The 21,311-nt window shown below is 33.5% G+C and overlaps 1 protein-coding gene across 5 annotated transcripts in view, besides 1 other annotated feature; it reads right to left on the reverse strand.

Annotated features, from left to right (window-relative positions):
- Nucleotides 1–204: 204 nt before the first annotated feature.
- Nucleotides 205–21,311, reverse strand: part of TMEM168 (transmembrane protein 168) — a 28,017-nt gene continuing 6,910 nt past the window's right edge. For all 5 annotated transcript variants that reach the window (NR_109840.2, NM_022484.6, NM_001287497.2 and 2 more), the window contains 3 exons: nt 13,004–13,146; nt 10,609–10,883; nt 205–5,572 (listed from right to left, as the gene is read on the reverse strand). Coding sequence is in view for 4 of the 5 variants with exons in the window: in NM_022484.6 (NP_071929.3) it covers nt 5,025–5,572; nt 10,609–10,883; nt 13,004–13,146 (966 nt within the window). In the remaining variant the exon portion in view is untranslated. The remainder of the gene's footprint in view (nt 5,573–10,608; nt 10,884–13,003; nt 13,147–21,311) is intronic.
- Nucleotides 20,359–20,818: an enhancer, noted in NCBI's record as "active region_26514". NCBI's record gives its function as "activates an Ori minimal core promoter by ATAC-STARR-seq in GM12878 lymphoblastoid cells {active_cell/tissue: GM12878}" and the evidence as "EXISTENCE:reporter gene assay evidence [ECO:0000049][PMID:35858748]".

A 21,311-nucleotide genomic window follows, 5' to 3' on the forward strand; every position in this document is an offset into this window, starting at 1 on the left:
GTGAAAATTAATTGTGCTATTTGTACTCCAAGTCAAAAGACAAAAAATTTAAAAAAAAAAAACAAACAAACTTGTTTAGAGTGTCATTAACATGCAATATTGGGTCCAAAGTGTTTGGGGGTGAGGAGGATGAATCAAATGACCCATAGCAAGATTAAAATTGCTTTGAGGAAGTCTATAGTTTATATTAAAAATTAATGCGAATTTTGTTCATCAATACATTGGTATGTGTTTTAATATAAAAATATTTTTGAACTTAGAAAAGTTTACTTGGCATTGAGTGAACACTGCTTGTCTAGGAAGCTATGTCATACTCATTTGTCCCTTGCACACTGCTAAAAATCTTTGAGATAAATCAATGTCTTTTAGGCTAGACCAAATAAAAACAAAAGCTTACTAAAACTGTCTACTTCTAACTATTTTAAGTTCAAACTTATAAAATATTATGAGGTCATCATACAAGATGACTGGTCAACTTCATTTTTAAAATCAAAATGGCTTTTAGGTATTGAATATTTCAAAGCAAAAAACCTTACGGGTAGCCCACAGTTTTCAATTTTCAGTCAACTTTGGTCTAAGTAATAATAACAATATTTCCTAATAAACATAAATGTAAATTATCAACAGAATGGTTTCTCAAAACAATTACTGCTTAAACTTCATCGTTTTATATTGTTTCTATGTGTTATAATTAGTGAATAGGTAAGACAATATAAAAAAGGAGATACTTATAGTTTCCCTAGCTTGTCCTTAACCTGCTTATGCTTATAGGCCTATTTTACTGACCTTCCAATTTAGTTGTCACTGATATGCATAGTCAAATTCCTTCTTTGTTCATCAGTCAGACTTTTAATAATTTCCATTTCTGGTAAATTTCCAATCTGTCTAGATATAATAGTGAGGAAATGAATGATTCAATCTTAATGATATTAGAGTCATGATGGAAATGGACTCAACTCACAAAAAGCCATTTTTTGGCAACATCAGCTATGTTTTCATTCAAACCAGTTCTGAAACAGTTTTTCCTTCCCTAATCTTAACACTTATTACTCTTAACTACAAATTTGAGATTTGCTTTCTTTTTATGGATTCTGTAAGTTTTTTACTAAATTACTTGCTTAATGAAGATCTTGAAATAATATCCATTTAAGTAAAACTAAAGAAAATGTAGTAATTTACAATCAAGTTATTCCAATTTCTCCTTAGGATTCTAGATTTATTCACTCAGTCCAAAATATTTATTAAATGCTTCTCATTACGGACAAGGCACTCTTCTCGGTAACTGTGTACCAGAAATACCAACATGTGTAAGCCTCTGCCTAAAAAGAGGTGACAGTCTAATAGTTTCCAATACAGGAGACATTCGAAAGTACTGACAGATCTAACTCCTTTGAGCACTTACTGTCAAATATATCTAATCACATTCTTAAAATTAAATCATTTTCTTCTGGCATACATTATATTAACTATCATCACTTGTGGGAAAGTAATGTAGAATATTACTTTAAAAGAGACTAAGCTATAAATTTGAATACATATAAAAAAGCAGTACCCAAGAGTAAATATGTTTGAGCCCAAAATTACAAAATATCCAGTTACAAATAGATTCTAATAAAGATTTTACTCAAAACAAAAATCTACCCACTAATGCATTAAATATAAGTGCATTTTAATTAAGACTTTAATTTTTTTAAAGCATAACTGGTCATAAGAATAATCCTCTGAAATGCATCTTTTCCAAAGAATTTTGAATTTATTAAGAGCAAGACAGAATTCTATGGAAATATAACCCCAAGTTTCCCAGGGAAGAGTTTAGATCAGAGCAAACTAAAAATTTTTGAATAAAATGATGGCATAACTGAAAAGTCATGGGGAGAGAAAGAACTTGGCTCCTTATTTATTTTGCAACAGTGTGTATGCTATTTGCACATGTACCCTAAAACTTAAAGTATAATAATAATAAAATTAAAATAAATAAATAATGGTTAAAAAAAGAAAATAAATTCATACTGTTTTTTTTATTCTATTGAAAAAAAAGATGATGTTTTTAGAGCTAGTGGTTTTGTGGTTTTAGCAAGGTATCACATGAGGAAACAAATACTAAACAAAGTTATGTTGAAAAAATCTCCATGTTACCTCTTTTTAGTAGAATGGTAAAGTTTTGCCCTAAAATAATTCCTTTCACTCCAAGCAACTCTTTCTTAAACATGACAGCCATAGACAAATTAGTCTCATTGTCAGATCTATTTTTCAATCTTTAGGTGAAAGTAACCAATCACTTTATTCTTCTTGTAATATTTCTTTTCTACACCCTTATTATTTTTTTTGTTTGTTTCTTTTTTTTTTTGAGATGGAGTCTCTCTCTGTTGCCAGGCTGGAGTGCAGTGGCGCAATCTCGGCTCACTGCAACCTCTGCCTCCCCGGTTCAAGAGATTCTCCTGCCTCAGTCTCCCAAGTAGATGGGACTACAGGCGTGCACCACCACGCCCAGCTGATTTTTTTATTTTTAGTAGAGATGGGGTTTCACCATGTTGGCCAGATGGTCTCCATCTCTTGACCTTTTGATCCACCTGCCTCGGCCTCCCAAAGTGCTGGGATTACAGGCATGAGCCACCATGCCTGGCTAAACATGTACTTTTTTTTTTTTTTGAGACAAAGAAAGAGTCCTGCTCTGTCGCCCAGGCTGGAGTGCAGTGGCACAATCTCAGCTCACTGCAACCTCTGCCTCCCGGGTTCAAGCGATTCTTGTGCCTTAGCCTCCCAAGTAGCTGGGATTACAGGCACCTGCCACCATGCCCGGCTAATAATTTTTTTTGTATTTTTAGTAGCGATGAGGTTTCCCCATGTTGGCCAGGCTGGTCTCAAACTCCTGGCCTCAAGTGATCCACCCACCTAGGCCTCCCAAAGTGCTGGGATTACAGGCGTGAGCCACTGCACCCGGCCTAGTTATTGTTTTTAAAATGTTAGCTTTGTGATACCATCCCAAAAAGTCATTTATTGTTTTTTGTTTGTTTGGGTAGGAGAATTCATCAAAGTGGACATTCTATAAATTTTTGGTTAACAAATTGGCTCAAGTCACATTCTTGGCCCAAAGACCATTTTTGGTTTTACTTTCACAGGAAATACATATGAAAAAGTTAGGTTTGTGGCTGTCAAACTGTCAGCTGTTTTTAAAATGTAATTTTTAGTACCACCTTAATACTACCTTATAAAGAATGCAGAATATACTTTTGTATTTGGCTTTCTTAAAGTGAAGAGATAATGCTTTAAAGCTAACCTGCTCACAAATAGCTGAGAAATTTAAAAGGAGATTTTACTTAACATTAACTTTTTTTAAGCTAAAAGCTCATAATTTTAACATTTGGCTTTTCTACTACCCTACTGCTGAACAGAGCAATAAAAAAAACTATACTATTTTATTTGGACAATACTAATATAAATCCTTAACCTATAATGGAAACTTCCAAACATGAACTCTAAAACATGGGCATTTTTAATGACTACCACTTTTAATAAATATACTAAAATATTCAATATTTGCACATCATTAAATAAAAAATTAATTTTTAACAAAATTTTATTTAGAGCATTAGGAAAATCATATTCAAAACACAGAAATAATCAGACTATAACAATGCTGCATAGATAGTGGTATACAAGTTCCCTGACTCTAACTTCTTCCTAACTTAAAAGTTCAATTTTCAAGTCACCAGGTAGAAAATGGTGGAGGCATTATTTCCTCTTTCTGAGGCTATAAAAAAATGGCTTCAATGGTGAGAAGGCAAACCATTTAAACAATGAAGATTAGATTATACCCCAATTTAATTCTATTCCCTTCTTGTTTGTTATTTCTCATAGATGAAAATTTAGAATGTAATAATTATTGGAAAGGAATAAGAAGTGAATTACCTCTTAGGAGATACCCTGATCAGTGCCTGCTTTAATCAGACAAAACACTAAGTTTTAAAAATTACAACCACAATATTATGCCTAACTAAAATTGCCAATATGAATACTTTTTTACAGAATACATTACATGTATACCAGAAGAGAAATACTTGTTTCCTATCCTCTGACCTTCAGTAGAAAAAAAATGTTATCACTAACAAGGATCAGAAAAATAATTTTCAAGGCAGAGCATTAACTCAATGGGGATCAAAATCTTTTCTGAATACTTAAAATAGACTGAGTCAGTCAACGAGAAATTGCTAAATTTCTTCTATGAGAGTACTTTTCAAAAAGGAAGACAATTTATTGGAAGAATTTGTAGCTGGAAACACTGTTCATTAAGAAAACATTAAGTTACCCTGAGAAAGACTCTTAATATTACCAGTGTTTTCAGGGCCCCCTGACCAACGCATGGAAGAGCAACTTGTAGGCTCTAGCCTTTTAACAATACCTACATAAAGAATATTTTGATCTAAAATGTAACTTGGGTTCTCTGCCACACTGGTAATAAGTCACAACCAAGACATCTGAATGTGATGGAGTATAAGCAAATTTTGCGTTTATTTTAGGCTGCCCTCTTTCTTTTCTAAGAGAAAGAGTTTGCAGTTCTTCAAATGGTCTTGGATGAAACCTACTGTTTGGAAAAAAGAATCTTCTGTAAGTAAACTGGTAGTTTTCTTAAAACAGTAAACAAATTTATCTGGTCTACATTCTCTAAACTATTATTATATGCCTAGAAAATAAGGCATTAGTAATTCATCATTGACCATTGCAGAGCATAGACAACTGTTTCTTTCTAATCAGGACCATAAGCAAACATTCCTGAAAGTGCAGTGTTATTTTTAACGTCTCTTATGCATTTACAGTAAGCATTTGACTCCCTACATACTTTCATTATAAAATGTTTTTTCCCAACGCCTTATATATACCATAATTACTTAAGAAAAGACAAAGTGAGAGCAGCTACAGAAGTAGCAAGGTATTTTCCACAAATAAAAATACAGCATACAAAAAATGGCAAGTTAGTGATAATTGGTAGTATGAGTGCTTATTAATATCCCGCTTTGGGGTCCAAATTAAGATTTGACAAGTTTGAAGCCTTGTCCTGTGTCCAGCACAGTAGGAAGAAACCAACTCATTTTTAATCTTTTCAAGCACCTAAAACAAGTTTTGCAGATCCAAAAAAGGTTCAGACCGCATAACCAATTTGCCAAATGCACTAGGGGATATGTAATACGAGGAAAGTGTAACATCCAGTGCTTGGCCACATCGCTTCCCGTTGGCAAATGCAGAGTGTAGTCACTCCACCGTTTTGACACACCATATACTGCTTTCACTGTGCGTCCCTTTTCAGTCCAGCAGATGTTATTACTGGAGTTGCAGTTATATTCTACCCAGTCTTTTGTAAAGTCACCTAGCTGTGGCGGGTCAGCTTCTTCAATATCTACTGTTTTTATCAACTCTGCTCCTTGCACTGCAATATACTGGTCATTAATTTTCCTCACTTCTTTCACCCAAGGGGTTGAATTTTCGCTGTCTAATACGATAATAAGCCGGGAACAAAAGGAACCATTCTTTTCTCTCCACCATTCTATAAGTGTGTCAAGGCGTAGTGTATCTCCACCTGTGAACAAGAGAAAATTCAATGGAGCAATAATTTCTGCAGCCTCTCATTAAGAAAACCCTCTTAATCATTTTCTTCTAGAGAGAAAATACTCTTGTTATACATGTATTTTCCTTAAGTTCTTAGAATTAAATAAGCAAAAAAATAAAGTATTTAAATGACACTTTCAAAGTATCTTTTGAAAAGATATTTTTTACAACAGATTTTCAACTTGAGGTAAAAAAAATCCTTATTACTCACATAAAAAGGAATCTGCTAGTATAAAATTAAGGAAATAGTTTTACACAGTTGTATTTAGTGAAAACAACTATACAGAAAAGCTAACATTCTACACCAGGGGCAGCAACTACAACTCATGGGCCAGATCCAGCCTGCCACCTCTTTTTGTATGGCCTGAAAGCTAAGAATTGATTTTATATTTTCACATGGTTGAAAGAAAATCAGAATATTTTGTGATAGTAAAAACTGTATGCAATTTGTTTCATATAATTATTTTCATAAATAAGTTTATTGGAACACAACTACATTCATTCATTTATACCGTCTATGGCTGCTATTGCTCTAAAGTAGCAGAGCTGAATAGCTGCAACAGGCATCTAAACCCACAAAGCCAAAAATATCTGGCCCTTTACAGAAAAAGTTTGCCTCCCCATTCTGTATCATTGTTTCCTTCTCTTCCTCATATGTAGGTACCTATTGAATGAAAATAAACCCTGTTCCTACCTGTACAAGAATGAGTTTAAGAACAGATTTACATTTAAATCAGTTTTATAGCTGAAGAACAAGGGATTAAAAAAATATATATACCCAGAAAGTTCTAAAGTAAATAAACTTCTGACTACAGGTTTTACATCTCGTTATTTTTTTGCATTAATTTTGATTTTTAAGTATACTACATTAAAATATTCATTTTGATTATTGAGTTTTTTGGCATTCCCTTATGTTTTGTGCCTGAGGCAACTGCCACCCTCACCTCATCTGGCCCTGTCTCAATGGTACACTGATAACGATCATTCCAATTCTACGAATCTATCTTAAGGAAAGAACAGACATAGGGACAAAAAATTACAAAAAAAGACGACCTTCCCATTTGGGAAATGGAAATGAACTATGGCCTAAAACCTTAGGAGGAAATCTTATAACAAAATATTTATAAAGAAAATTTATTGATGAGAAAATGTCTATATTAGAAAAAGCATGACAGTACATCTACAAAAATTATAACAGCAGCTATTGCTGGGTGTTTCACTTCCATGTGGTTTTTAAAATATTTTTCTGACAGTTTTACATTGAGCATAAGTTACTTTTACAATTTACCAGCACAAGACCCAACATTTTCCCCAAATCAACTGTCCTCTTGGTTTCACCATTAAAAATGGACACCACCAGAGAGAGAATCCTTTAGAATTGGGATTCTATCATATTCTTTATGTGTCATTTATTAATGTTTTATTAATCAGTAAGCTTAAGAACCTGAAAATAAACTTTTTTTATTAATCGCTCTAACACTCACACATATTATCTCAGAGACACTATTTCAGTACATTGTCTCCACATATTACTAATGTGTTATTCCACTGATACCTCCAAAAGATACTTTTTCAAAAATGGCCAAATGTTAACTCTCCATTATTGTCAGCTCTATTAAATTTCTCTAGAGATCAGAAGATGACACAGATTACAAGAACTATTATGTAAATTCCATCTGCCACAAAACATCATTGCCCAACATGCCATCCACAACTATTTCAATAAACATTCTTGAGCATATTCTACCCTAATTCTCTTATATAAATGCTCTTTAGATATCAACGAGACCTAAAGCAGCATTAAAGCTTTCTAAACAATTTCTCTTGTTTTGCTCTGCTTTCTCCTATGAATAGGTTCTATGCTACATTTGGCTTTTGGCCCAGATTCAAAGTACTTACATTTATCTAAGCTAATATCCATCTGATGCATTTTAAGTAATTGAGACTGCTTTTTAAAGGTTTTATTTGTAATAAACTGCTTTATAAATTATCTACATTTTTTCCATTTATTTCTGTCTCTCCTGTAATTACCATAATTGTTTTCTATCCTCAAGCAGAGGCAAAAATATTAGGTTCCATATCATGAAACTCCATAAATATAAGAAGACTACATATTCTAACTACTGTGAGTGAAGGTATGGGATAAAGGGCAAATATAGATTCTCTTTCCCACAGCGATATTAATACTGGGCCTGCTATCAACTTGCTAACCCAAGTAAAATCCAGTTGTGATGTTTCCTATTTCAAAGTTTGCTGAAAAAACAACAAAAAACAAAACAAAAAATCCCCAACTATTAATAAATTAGCAGAGCTTAAAGCTCTTTGTCACTTAATTTGGAATAGATGAAAGTATTTTCCTCAGAGCAGAGATATTCAATACTATTTGTGAGGCAGAATCAGCCCTTGAGGACTACGTCTAAAGCAGGCCAGGGCATGAACTAACTGAAAAGCGGGCTTTTCTGGGCCTGGTTCAACCTGACTACCCACAAGTATGCGAGATGCCTCAGGCCATGCATGACAGTATGCAGTTGCTGAATTATAAGATAAAATCTACCTTTCTCAGGGAAGGGAGATCAGTATGCTTTCTCTCTCTTTTTTTTAAACTTCTTATAATAAGCCTCAAAGTTACACAAGAACAAATCTTAGCTAACAGAGGAATTCTGTAACGGTCAATTTACTGGTAGCATACTTCAAAAAAATTATAAAGACATCATTCTAGAATGTAACTGCTAAACATTTACCTAAAATACAACTCTATTTTAGTGTTCTTAAAGTCTTCAAAAATTATTCCTAACAGTGAATGAAAATTTAGAAAAACTGCGAGAGATATATATATGTGTGTGTGTGTTTATCTTAGTGTTTTTACTTTTCTTAGAAAAATAAAAAGCTGATATAAGTATTAGTAAATGAACATCTAGAATTGATTTCCATAGCTATCTTTAAGAAATACTTAATGAATTTTAAATTACTTAAGAAAAATGCAAACTTTTTGAAAAGTGTTTCTATTAAGTAATAAATCCTTCATATAAACACACATAAAAAGCTTACTTCTAAAATTACTCTAACACTTTAAAATAACTAGGGATATATGCATGGCCACCAAAAATTAGCCCTGTTTTTTCCATTTGATCTGGGTAGAGTTTATTATCATAAGGATTATAGTAAGTTTCAGCAATCTCTGCTTTTAGATCTAAAATTCTATTTCTGTAAAGGCTATTTTAATTGACTAAAAGCTTTCTCTTGTGCTCTGAGTTGGAATACACAGAACGTTATACTTTACCTGAAACTGAAGTAGCCATAAAGGTTAAAAAGATGCTTTCTACGTTGTAATTAAAAAGTTATAGGTCAAGTAAATGATTTTATAAACTATATTCAATTAGTTTTAATGTTCAGTGCATCTTTTAGTCTTGTACATTCTAATGTTTTGAAATGGGTGACCCATGTTAACAAAAATATCCACTTAACCAGAACATGCCATTCCTTTATCATCATGGCTTTCACCCTTGGAGGCAACATGGTAGAGTGGGGGGAAAAATACACTTTAGGAATCAGGCAGATCTGGTCTTAAATCATGGTTCTATCACATAGTGGTATGACCACAGATAAGTTACATAACAACTTTCAATTTCCATTTCATCGTTTGAAAAATGAAGATAACAGAAGTGATGGTATCTATCTCAAAGGATTTCACATAAAGATTAACAATGTGTGTAAGGTACTAAGTACAGTAAGCTGATGCTTAAAATGTACCCAATAAATATTAGCTTGTCTTTCTACTAGAAGGCCACTGAGTTATTCAATATTTATTTGCAAAAAAGAAAAATTTCAAAAAAATATTTCTCCTTATGATAAAAACCTCAGTTACAAATCTGGCATGAAATCAATGAGATCATGCTAGTTTAAAATCATCTCTACCTTAACCTTTTTGTTTGTCTCTTTCTGGAGTTCTTATATTGGCAACTCTGCCTCTGTCCTTCCATACTACTTCTATTTATCTTTTTCTTTATCCTGAATGTTTCCACTTTATTTATGACTATTTTATTATTTATATATTCTTGGTTTAAAACATCTACACTTTTATGGAAAAAAAAATCATGTAATTAAATCTAAAATAACTATTTCTAATCTAAAATAAGAAAATTACCTTTTTTAATGATTTATTCAATGATTTCATCTATCTATCAGCTACTTAAGGATCCTCTACTATGTATTGGGCTCTGTTATAGGTCCTAAACAAGTAACAGTTGATAAAACAAAGCCCTTGACTTTCTCTCTATTAATAGTTGGAAAGACTGACAAATTTATATATGATATAAAGAGATCTCATTTCTCTCTTGGCAATAACTAAGAAGTTTTCTATTTCCCATAATGCATGCAAACCAAAGTTATTTTATGTTTTTTCAAATGCAAAAAAATCCCTACAGAATTTTGTACCTTAGAATAAAACTCAATGGTCATTTACAATTACCCCCTTATTTTACAGATGAGAAAATTGAAGCCAACAGAAGTTAACTAACTTGCCTAAAATAACACAGCTGTGGCAAATTAGGACCAGAACCAAGGTCTCCTGACCTAAGTGCTACTCCCACCATACTACATGATCTGCTGTTTAAAATTTTGGTGAGCTTTATAACATAAATAAAACTACAGATGTGAAGGACTACTGAAATCTGCATCCATAACATTTAAAAACTTAAAGATACTAGTCAAAGGAGTTTATCAGCTTCTGAAAAATATGTTTAGCAATTCTGAAAATATTTTAAGGGAAACTGTAAGTCTCAAAGCATTTTTTTCCTTCTAATCACTATAAGACGTAATTCCCAATCTTATCATTAGAGATTAAATTAGGCTAAACAGGTATGCTAGAGCAAAGAAAAACAAATTAGAGTCATATGCATAGTTCAGTAAACTAAGAATCCTGGAAATTTAACGACTGTGTGTGAAGTACAGATTTCTACATATACATGTGTATCTTTACAATAGTGAAACTGCCAAAGGTGAGTTTACCTGCTAGAGCCCACTCTCCTGTACCATGGGTGTGCCCACTGTAATACAAAATATACGTATCATGTCTGGGTCCATCCACTGTCCGAAGTTCGAGGAAAGCTTTTAGTTTGGAATGCAGAGTATCAAATGACAGTCCACTTGTGGAATAGTCACATCCATAGGTCTCAATCATATGATATGCAAAAAATCTTTGGATAGCATTGAGCATGCCAGTAGACCTCAAATTTAACTCCTGTACATGTTCTGGGGGAAGCAGTGTTGGCTGACCATCAGGACTGAAGTAGGAGAAAAAACAAGAAGTACTCATTCTATATCACATTCTCATCTGTCATTTGTAACTGATTATCTAAGAATCAGTTATAATATAGTTGCTGCTAAGTGGCAGGATTTTTGTAAAAAATCACCCTTTCTAAAATTCCTATAGTACTGAGAATTAAGCTTAGAAAATCAAAACCTGGTTTCTAAATATTATATTTACTATCATTAAAACAATAATCAAATTAAAAGCTGGGATAATGTCTCCAAATGTAGATAGTATTACTCTTTGTTCCTTATTCGTATTTTCTTACATGACAAATATTGGACAAGGTTTTTTAAAAGCAGGATTACACTGTTTCAAGAACATCTGGGTGGGGACTATTAAAAAAACTTCTTTAAAAATATTATAACACAAAATAAAAAAGCAATATTTTAATTATATATTTACTTCTGTATTGAAAAATAGTCAATAAAATTGTGTTCAAATTTTATTAACTTAAGGTACATAAATAATAGAAGAAATTATCTATTAATAGGCATTTAAAAAGTTATTAAAATTTAGGTCCATTGCTTTATACCACTGGACACTAGTTGAAGACTTAGATTTACTCCTAGAACAAATATAAAATGGTACTCTAGTACAAAGATGATAAAGCAAGTCTTATAACTAGCAAAATACCATTAATATTGAGAAAGAAAAAATCATCATTCCTATCCAGAAAAGGGATTTCTATCGGGATTTTTGAAAACGTTAGATTTTGCTTCATATATCATCAGTACTATTCTACTAACTTTTTTTCATTACAGTCACAAAAGAGTAAGGAATACATTAAAAAAATTACAATGGAATAAATATCTAACTGTGCATATTACTATTTCCACACATTCTTTCTACAAGGTTGTCATTTCTCACTTTATGTGACATTTCCAAATCTGTTTCCTTCAGTTCTTAAACCTTCAACTTTGTATTAAGTCTTTAACGAAGGAAAATATTTCCTACAAATAGTCTATTTGGAGATTTTTATGTCAAATACTTGAAATTGGGAAAAAACTTTACTTCCACTCTCCTCTCCCCCAGGGAAAGTGTGATGAAAACTGTCATCAGAATTCATTTATGGCAAAGAATTATTTTAAAGGTAGTTAGCTATAAAATAAAAATCAAAATGTAGCAACATTTACAGATTTATACAGATGTCACCACCTTTGTGGGTAAAAGTTATTTTGGAATAAAACTGCAATAAACATTTATTAAACTTCACTGCCAATCCTCTGAATTCCTAGTATTTGTATGGCATTTTTCAGTGTGCAGAGTGTTTTTACATTTTTTTTTTTTTTTTTTTTTTTTTTAGTGCTTCATACCATTCCTGTCAGATGAACAGAAGAGTTATCACTATATACATTTTAGGCAAAGACAGATAATAAGGTTCAGAGTAGTTATAGTGTACCAAAGGTAACAAAGAACTAGACCTCCAGCCTCTCAGGCCCAGAGCACGTTTTACTATATTTCACTATGTTGCTTCAGAGGACACTTTCTTTTGCTTTTTTCCTTTTTTTTTTTTGAGACGAAGTCTTGCTCTTATCCCCCAGGCTGGAGAGCAATGGCCCTATCTCAGCTCACTGCAACCTCCGCCTCCCAGGTTCAAGTGACTCTCCTGCCTCAGCCTCCTGAGTAGCTGGGATTGCAGGTACCTGCCACCACACCTGGCTAATTTTTGTATTTTCAGTAGAGATGGGGTTTCACCATGTTGGCCAGGCTGGTCTCGAACTCCTGACCTCAGGTGATCCGCCCGCCTCGGCCTCCTAAAGTGCTGGGATTACAGGTGTGAGCCACCACGACCAGCCAGAGGACACTTTCTTAACAAAATATTCCCTTTAGGGTAAGATCTTTCCTTAGAAAAGTTATTCATGAATATTTTCTGGTTTCTAGCTAAAATATAAGCTTATCATATTTATCAAAATATTTCAATTTAACTCTGAAGATATTATCACTTGGAATAAAGTTTGTTAAAAATTTGGAAGAAATGCACAAGTTATATTTTGAAAACAGTTTTGAAAAGGAGCTATATTTTATTCATATAAATATTAAGAAAATGTTATGAAGTGAATAGTTATCACTAACTATACTAGATTACTGTACCTGCAGAAGTTGGTGGGAATCACAATAGCATATCCAACAGATGTTCCTCCTAAACAGTTACCCAATTCATGGAAGAGCCCATGAGCCATGGATTCCAATGGCAAAACGATTAGAAACATGCTCAAGAAAATTCCATTTGTTGGCTAAAAGAAATCCAAAACATGTTTACATAGTACATGTACATATGTGTATATATTTACATGCATGCACATTGATTCACATTTTTTAGCTTCTACTTTCAAAAAGGATAAAAGGAACAATTAATGATCTAAAAACAATTTTCAGTTAAAGCAGACACGTATACATGGATGAGCTAACTAGTGCAATAAATCCTAAATTTATCTCTTAGTTTTTTGGAAGTTGTGGCAAAACACGGCACATCATTTTTAAAAAAGAATTGTCAAATAACATCCTATCCAGACGAGAAAAAAAAAAAAAACAAAACAAACCAAAACCACTCTTTGATATAACAGAGAAAATGCCAGAAAACAAATATCTTGTTAAAACCCACATGCCTATGTCATTTTTCAAATAACAGATTTATTTACTTTATCAAAAAGAGTGCTTTAGAAAGGGGTCATTTTTTCCCCATGAAATTATGAAAGTAAATTCTTAAGGAAATTTAAGACCCTAAAGCCATAAAAACTAATTCCGTTTATATGGTATAGTTTACCTTATAAAGCACTGAACTCTCTAGATGTGCAAATTCAAAATTTTAACAGAAGAAAATATTGAGGACACGTAAGCATTGTAAAAGCAGAATGGAAAGTAGACAGGCAGAAGAAATAAGCAGGAGGCAATCAGGTATTAATTGCAATGAAAAAGCAGAAAAAATACTCATTTAAGTGAAAAGAAAATGGATAGTCACTTGAACATACCTTTAGAATATTAAACTATTACTTTTTTCTATATGCTTTCTGTATTCTTTCTCTATTACTTTCTTTCTGTATAAGTTCTTAAGGAAATTTAAGACCCTAAAGCTATAAAAACGAATTCCGTTTATATGATATAGTTTACCTTATAAAGCACTGAACTCTCTAGATGTGCAATCAAAATTTAACAGAAGAAAATATTAAGGACATATAAGCATTGTAAAAGCAGAATGGAAAGTAGACAGGCAGAAGAAATAAGGAGGAGGCAATCAGGTATTAACTGCAATGAAAAAGCAGAAAAAATTAAGACTCATTTAAGTGAAAAGAAAATGGATAGTCACTTGAACATTTCTTTAGAATATTAAACTATTACATTCTTCCGGTATTGCTACTGCACATACTATATGCCTAGGTGCATGAACACATACTTTTAACACTAAGGGGTGGTTCACTTGATCAAAATTTAATAAAAAAATTAATTCCTGCAATAGAAAAATGAATATACTGCCCTATTTTGGTACATCCTATTTTGTCAATGACATAAATAACACAGTACATGCTCCATTTAAAAACACTAGAAAATACAAATAAGTAAAAAAGATATGTGATTAAAATCATTCCAAATACCATCATCTATACGCACAGCTACTCTGAAATATTCCCAGACTTCATGCAATGTATTTTTCACAAATACATATTCATGTGTATGTTTTTTTTTTTTACCAAAATGGGATACATAATCTATCAACATTTTAATTTAAGCTTACATTACTCTAAATCACTTGTAAAGACCAAATGGCATTCCTATGATACATATAAAACTTTAATTAGTGGATCCCATTATTGGTATTTAAATTGCTTACAGTTTGCCATTACACCAAAACTAGAATAAATATCAAGTTCTGATTATTAATGAGGTTAAGTACCTTTCACTATGTGGGTATCATCTTTGATGAAGTGTTAAATATTTTGCCCACCTTTCTATGGGGTTGACCTTTTCTTCACTGATTTAGTTTTGTTTGGTTCTGAACATAGTTTCAATGAAAGTCTTTTGTTGGTGACTCTGTGACTACCTTAATGCTGTTTTTTGCTTAACATGAGTTCTTAATTATAATATAGTCACTTTATGCCTTGTTAAAAAAAATCCCTCTATCCAACCATTAAGAAGATATTTTAACATTATCCTCTAAAGGCTTTATTGTTTTGCCTTTACATTTAAAACTATAATCCAAATATAACTGATTTTATGATAATGGTCCAATTTTTTCTTCTACAGAAACACTCAATTGTTCAAGCACAAATTACTGAAAATATCAACCACTCCACATTACAGTGCCACTTTTGTCATAAGTATTCATGGACCTGTTTTTGGTCTCTCTTCTTCTGTTCTGTTGTTCTATTTTTTATTCTTTCACATATTTCCTTTGGCCTTCATTTCTTCCCTCTATTTTTGAGACTCTTATAAAATATGAGATCTTCTTACCATATCCTCTGAGTCTTATCCTTTCCTTCTGTTCAGTATTTTCCATACTGCTCTTTCATGCTGCTGCTTATATAGCTTCTTCTGAACTGTATCTTCCAGTTCACTAATGCCCACTTCAGCTTTGTCTAATGTTATGTTTGCAACACTGAAATAATTTATTTCCTGATCTAAATTTCTATTTAGTTCTTTGTAAAATCTGCCTTGTCATTTTTTAAAGTTTCCAGTGTACTACCATTATGTCCTGATCTCTCCTTTTACTTTTGCAACTTAGCATGATGGTTTTCTGTTTGATAATTCCAATACCTAAAGATTTTTTTCTGTTGTCTGTTGGTTTTGCTGCTTCTTGCTCTTGGTGCTGTGTGTGTGTGTGTGTGTGTGTGTGTGTGTGTGTGTGTGTGTGTGTGTGTGTGTGTACCTGGTTAAATTTATAAGCTGAACACTGGATATAAAAATTATATTATTATTAACTTTAGGCCTAGGATAATGATACCTTCTCCTAGAGGCAATCTGTTTCTTCCAGAGAGCTGCGGACATTACGAGTCTACATATCTTAATTCAGGTTTGACCACTTAATCCCAGGTTGAACCACCAACAGGACACAAGGGCAGAAAGCAAGTTCATGAGAGGGCTATAACACACATGGCTCCACCCTCTTCTTTCAGTGTGTAAGCGTAAAATGGGAGGTAATTTACCAGAGATCTCACTTCTGGAGGCCCTGGGCTTGGCTTTTATTTTTGCCACTCTTGAGGGGACCAAAAGTGCAGCTCAGCTTTGAAAACAGTTTCCTCTATGTATACAAATGCCTGCAAGGCACCGCATTGAGTCTTTTCATCCCAGGAAGTATGGTGTGTTTTTCCATTTATTGAAGTCTTCTTTTATAACCTACATTGAGGTTTGTAGTAATTTTAAAATAAAAGTTTTATAAGTTTAAAACTTATTTTATGTTTCTGTTCTTACAAATGGAATCAGTTCCAATTTTCTGATTGATTTCCAGGCTATTACATTTTATATATTTACATATTTTTTCTAAACCAGTGCTTCTCAATCTTCAGTATGTTTTTACTATTAGAAAAAAGTATTAAACAGTTTGATTTAGCAGTGAACTAAGCAAATGATAAAGTTCAATTGTCAATCAATTTGTAGATGACTTAAATGAAAAGCCTAATAATTCAAAATTCCAATTAAAATGTTAATTGATAGTGATGTTATTCAATACCCTAATGTTGGTTTTGCAACATTGATGATGATATTTGATACAGTAGACTAAATAAGTAGATATTTAGGGGTCTATTGATCACAACTCATAAATAACAGATGATCTGTTACTACTTGCTTTTTATATTAAAAAATCTTAGAAACTGAGAATTTTATGCTGATTGACAGGGTCTCACTCCGTCGTCCAGGCTGGAGTGCAGCGGCATGATCACGATTCACTGCAGCCTTGACCTCTCAGGCTCATGTGATCCTACCACCTCAGCCACCCAAGTAGCTTGGGACCACAGGCACATGCACCACCATGCCTGGCTAATTTTTTTATTTTTGTAGAGACAAGGTCTCCCTATGTTGCCCAGGCTGGTCTCAAACTCCTGGGTTCAAGCAATCCTCCTGCCTTGGCCTCCCAAACTGCTGGAATTACAAATGTGAGTCATCATGCCTGGCCCTGTCATACATTTTTAGAAAGCAAATTTATCAGGAAAAAATCATTAAGTACTTCTATTAGGTTATTTTGAAAAAGCAAGCTTAGAAAAACAGTATTAAATATTCTATTATGATCACACACAAGTTAGTATTTTGGCAATACAAAAATTCGTAATCTTAACTGAACAGATGGCAAGTATGTCCAGGGGAAGCCAAAATAAATTTAGGATGTTTTGTCTGCTTGCCACTTTCAGAGAGCTTCAATTTTATTGGCCTGCAAACCTTTATTCTATAGCTTCAATCTAGAAGTCATTTGTGACTTTGGAGTACTCCTTACACCTTAATTCCAAGTAACAAATAAGATCAATTGATTCAAGCCTACAAGTACTTATTCTCCTTTGCTTCTCCAAATTATCCTCAGCTCATTATCAAATTTTAAGACATGGCTCATATTTCAGAGCAGATATAAACTGAGCACAAAAGAAGACCAATAAACAACCTGTAAGTAATGCCCTTTGAATAAAAGTTGTTACTAGTTATTAGATCTCTATTCAGCTGGGCTTTCAAGTCATGGTCAAAGTATTCAATGTTTCATATCCTAAAATTTTTCAGATAACAGGAACAAAATTTCTTTATGCAATGTCATTTTTAAAATGTAACATTTACATAAACATATACGGCTTGTTTGTTTAGAAGCATTCTTGTATGAGTCACCTTATGCAAACCAGATTTGGAAAACATACATAGAAGTCTAAAGAAAGTAAAGCCCAACTAAGAAACAGTATACGTAAATGCGGCAATATATAAATGGAGAGACTGTGAGAAATCCAGCTTTAAGAAACCACAGGCGACTTTCAAAACTTTGCTTGTTTCAGGAAATTTAAGAACATTATGAAGGCTACTGTATAATTTTAAAGTCAAATGACTTCTTTACGTGGAAGAAGTAGGGCATAGTGGAAAGGACCCAAGCTTCGGAGTTAGACTTTTGTTCAATCCCAGCTCAGCCACTTGCTATGTGTACACGAATAAGTTAATTAACCTTTTGAGTCTTGATTTCTGGAATATATACAGAGATAATTTATGTCATGAGCTTATTCTGTAGATTAGAAATACATATGTATGGCAGTATAAAGTTAAAAGAAATGCTTTCCACATGACCCAGCAATCCCACATCACACTAAAATAAAAGCTTATGTTAACACAAACCCTTGTCTACAAAGGTTTATAGCAGCTTTATTCATAATTACCAAAAAACTGCAAATAATTTCAGTGTCTCTCAACTGAGTAAGGGATAAACTGGAACATCCATACAATGGGATATTGCTCACAATAAAAGTAACTAACTTACTGATGGCACACAGCAACACAGATGAATCTCAAATGATTTAAATAAGAAGTCAGACTCAGGGCCAGGTGCAGTGGCTCACACCTATAATCCCAGCACTTTGGAAGGCCAAGGCAGGGAGGACTGCTTGAGCGCAGGAGGTCGAGGCTGCAGTGAGCCATGATTGTACCATTGTACTCTAGCCCACACTGCAGAGCAAGACCCTGTCTCAAAAACAAAAGTCAGGCTCAAAAGACTACAATGTTAAATGATTTTACGAATATGACATTCTGGAAAAGGAAAATGTCTAGGAACGGAAAACAGGTTGCCAAGTACCTGGGGTTGGGAGAAGGACTGACTACAAGGAAGCAAGAGGGAATTTTGGCAGTGATTTAACTGCTCTACAAATTGACTGTGGTAGTGGTGGTCACACAAATACATGATCCGTATCAAAAAAAAAAAAAAAAAAAAAACGGGGGCACAGATAGTTAATATTTTGTTTTGCAGGCCATACAATCTCTGTTTTAACTACTCAACTATGCTGTTTACCATAATTACAAGAGTTAATATGGTAAGAAGATATAACAAACATGCATTTACCTCTAGGAACAGTGCTTCAAAATAAAGAAGCAAAAAAAAAAAAAGACAGAATTGAAAAAGCAAGTAGACAATTCAGGAACTATAATAGAGATTTTCATCTCTCTCAGTATTACAGAATTAGACAGAAAATTAACAAGGCTATAGATACATGAACACCACCACCAACCAACTTAATCTAGCTGATATTTATAGTACACTGTACCCAACAACAGAGGACTCATTATTTTCAAGTGAACATGGAATAAAACATGCCATGCCACAAAACAAGTGGCCTAAAAGACTAAAATCACACAGTGTTCTCCAACTACATGGAATTAGAAATCAATGGAAAGAAATGTGAGAAACTTCCAAATATTAGGATATCACACAACAAACTTATAAATAACCCATGAGTCAAAGAGGAAATTTCAAAGGAAATTAGAAAACATCTCACCAGATGGCATAGTGCTAGCACAATGGTAGACATATAGGTCAATATAACAAAAAAACTCAAAAATACAACCTTACGTTTATGTTTAACTGATTTTAAACAAAGACGCCAAGGCAATTCAATAGGCGAAATGTTAATCTTTTCAACAAATGGTGCTGGGAACAATGAGATCTATATATTAAAAAAAAAAAAACAAACTTAGATCCTTATCTCATACTATACTCAAAATGGATCATACACCTAAATGTAACAGTTAAAACAATAATGCTTTTGAAAGAACTGTGACCTAGTGTTGAGCAAAGAATTCTTAGATAAGATACTAAAAGCAGAGCCCATAAAAGAAAAAGTGGATAAACTGGACTCTGTAAAATTAAAAACCTTTACTCTTGAAAACTCTTCAAAAATTTGTATCATTCAGAAAATAAAAACAGAAGCCACAGACTGGGAGTAAACATTTCCAAATCATTTATCTGACAAAGGGCTCGTATCCAGAATATATAAGGAACTCTTAAAAGACAAATAACCTCAGCTTTAAAATGAGCAAAAGATGTGAATATTTAAACAACAAAGTAAATGGCTAATACACACATAAAAAGATGCTCAACATCATTAGTCATTAGAGACATAAATTAAAACCACAATGCTATCACCTACAGCTAAAGGGATTCTCAAGTAGATCAACTTTAGGAAAGAGTAGAATGGAAGGTGAGAATCAGGAAACTGATTCTCTTAAAATTATCTCTGCTGACAGACTCCTTGGAAAGTTTTTGTGTACCTCCAGTGGTACACACCATATCTGAAGACCACTAGGTAAGAAAAAGTTTGGAGACCAAGAAAATATTCATATTTGGTTAACAGAATTTGAAAGCCTGGAATGGCATCCAGCATGAATGAGGCTGACTTGGAAAAGAAAAAGTATTTAGGGCTGGGAAAGGAGCTAGCAGGAGGAGGGGCAAGGAAGAGGGAGGAAAACTCATGCTTGAGTTTTTGACATCAACAACATAATTCTGACAGTACCTAACACCAGCAAGTAGAGCAAAGTAAGGACAATATCCTCAGGCCACACCCAAGATGTTTTCCTCATTTGGCTGACTCCCACACAGGATCCCTGCCCTAGCCCAGCTGACTAGAAATCTAGCACCATGTCCAGGCAAGTCTTCACATCTCCCTCTTCAAAACACACTTCTAGAAATCACTCAGCAGCAACAAACTGTTACAAAGCAGAGAGCTGCACCAAGCAGAGCTGACTTTCCTCTAGAAATCAGTCAGCAGCAACAAACTCTTACAGAGAGCTGCACCAAGCAGAGCTGACTTTCCTTTATGCCCCACATCCCAGTCTGATGTACACAGATTATAGTATTTATCACACTGTAATCATAATTGTTTGTTTACATGCCAGCCTCTTCCTCCTCCCATTGGAGACTGTGCCACCTTTGACAGACATCCTGAGATCTTCCGCACCCACTATAGTGCCTGGCATATAGTGCATAGTCAATACATGCTCAATTAATGGAAGACTGGGTTTGTTAATACTGCAGATGCAAACTCCAACTGTACAAATGTCTTTGTCTACAAGAACCTTTTAGAAAACATTTCTGGGCAGCAAAGGTACTGTGAAACCCATGTTTTCTTTCTTAGGATAACCTCTAATCTATAATTAAGAACCTGCTATGTTGTTATATATCTGATCACCTTTTATATAAAACCTTCAGAGAAATGGCTGCATAAAAGAAACATGTTACAGTGAGGAGTCCAGGGAATAGACAGAAGTTAAGTAACCTTGTTCCTGCTAGTACTAGTGACTCTGGATGTGTCTTCTTTGGCTTTCAGTTTCCTCATGGGTATAATTAAAGGATCAAAATACAATCTTTAAATACTTTCCAAATGTTAGTATTCTAAGACTCTTTAATCGATGAGTGTTTCACTAATGAACAGTCAGGAAGCGGGAGGCATCTCAACGC

The sequence above is a fragment of the Homo sapiens genome, chromosome 7 (assembly GCF_000001405.40).
Source record: "Homo sapiens chromosome 7, GRCh38.p14 Primary Assembly".
Taxonomy (NCBI): Eukaryota; Metazoa; Chordata; class Mammalia; order Primates; family Hominidae; genus Homo; species Homo sapiens.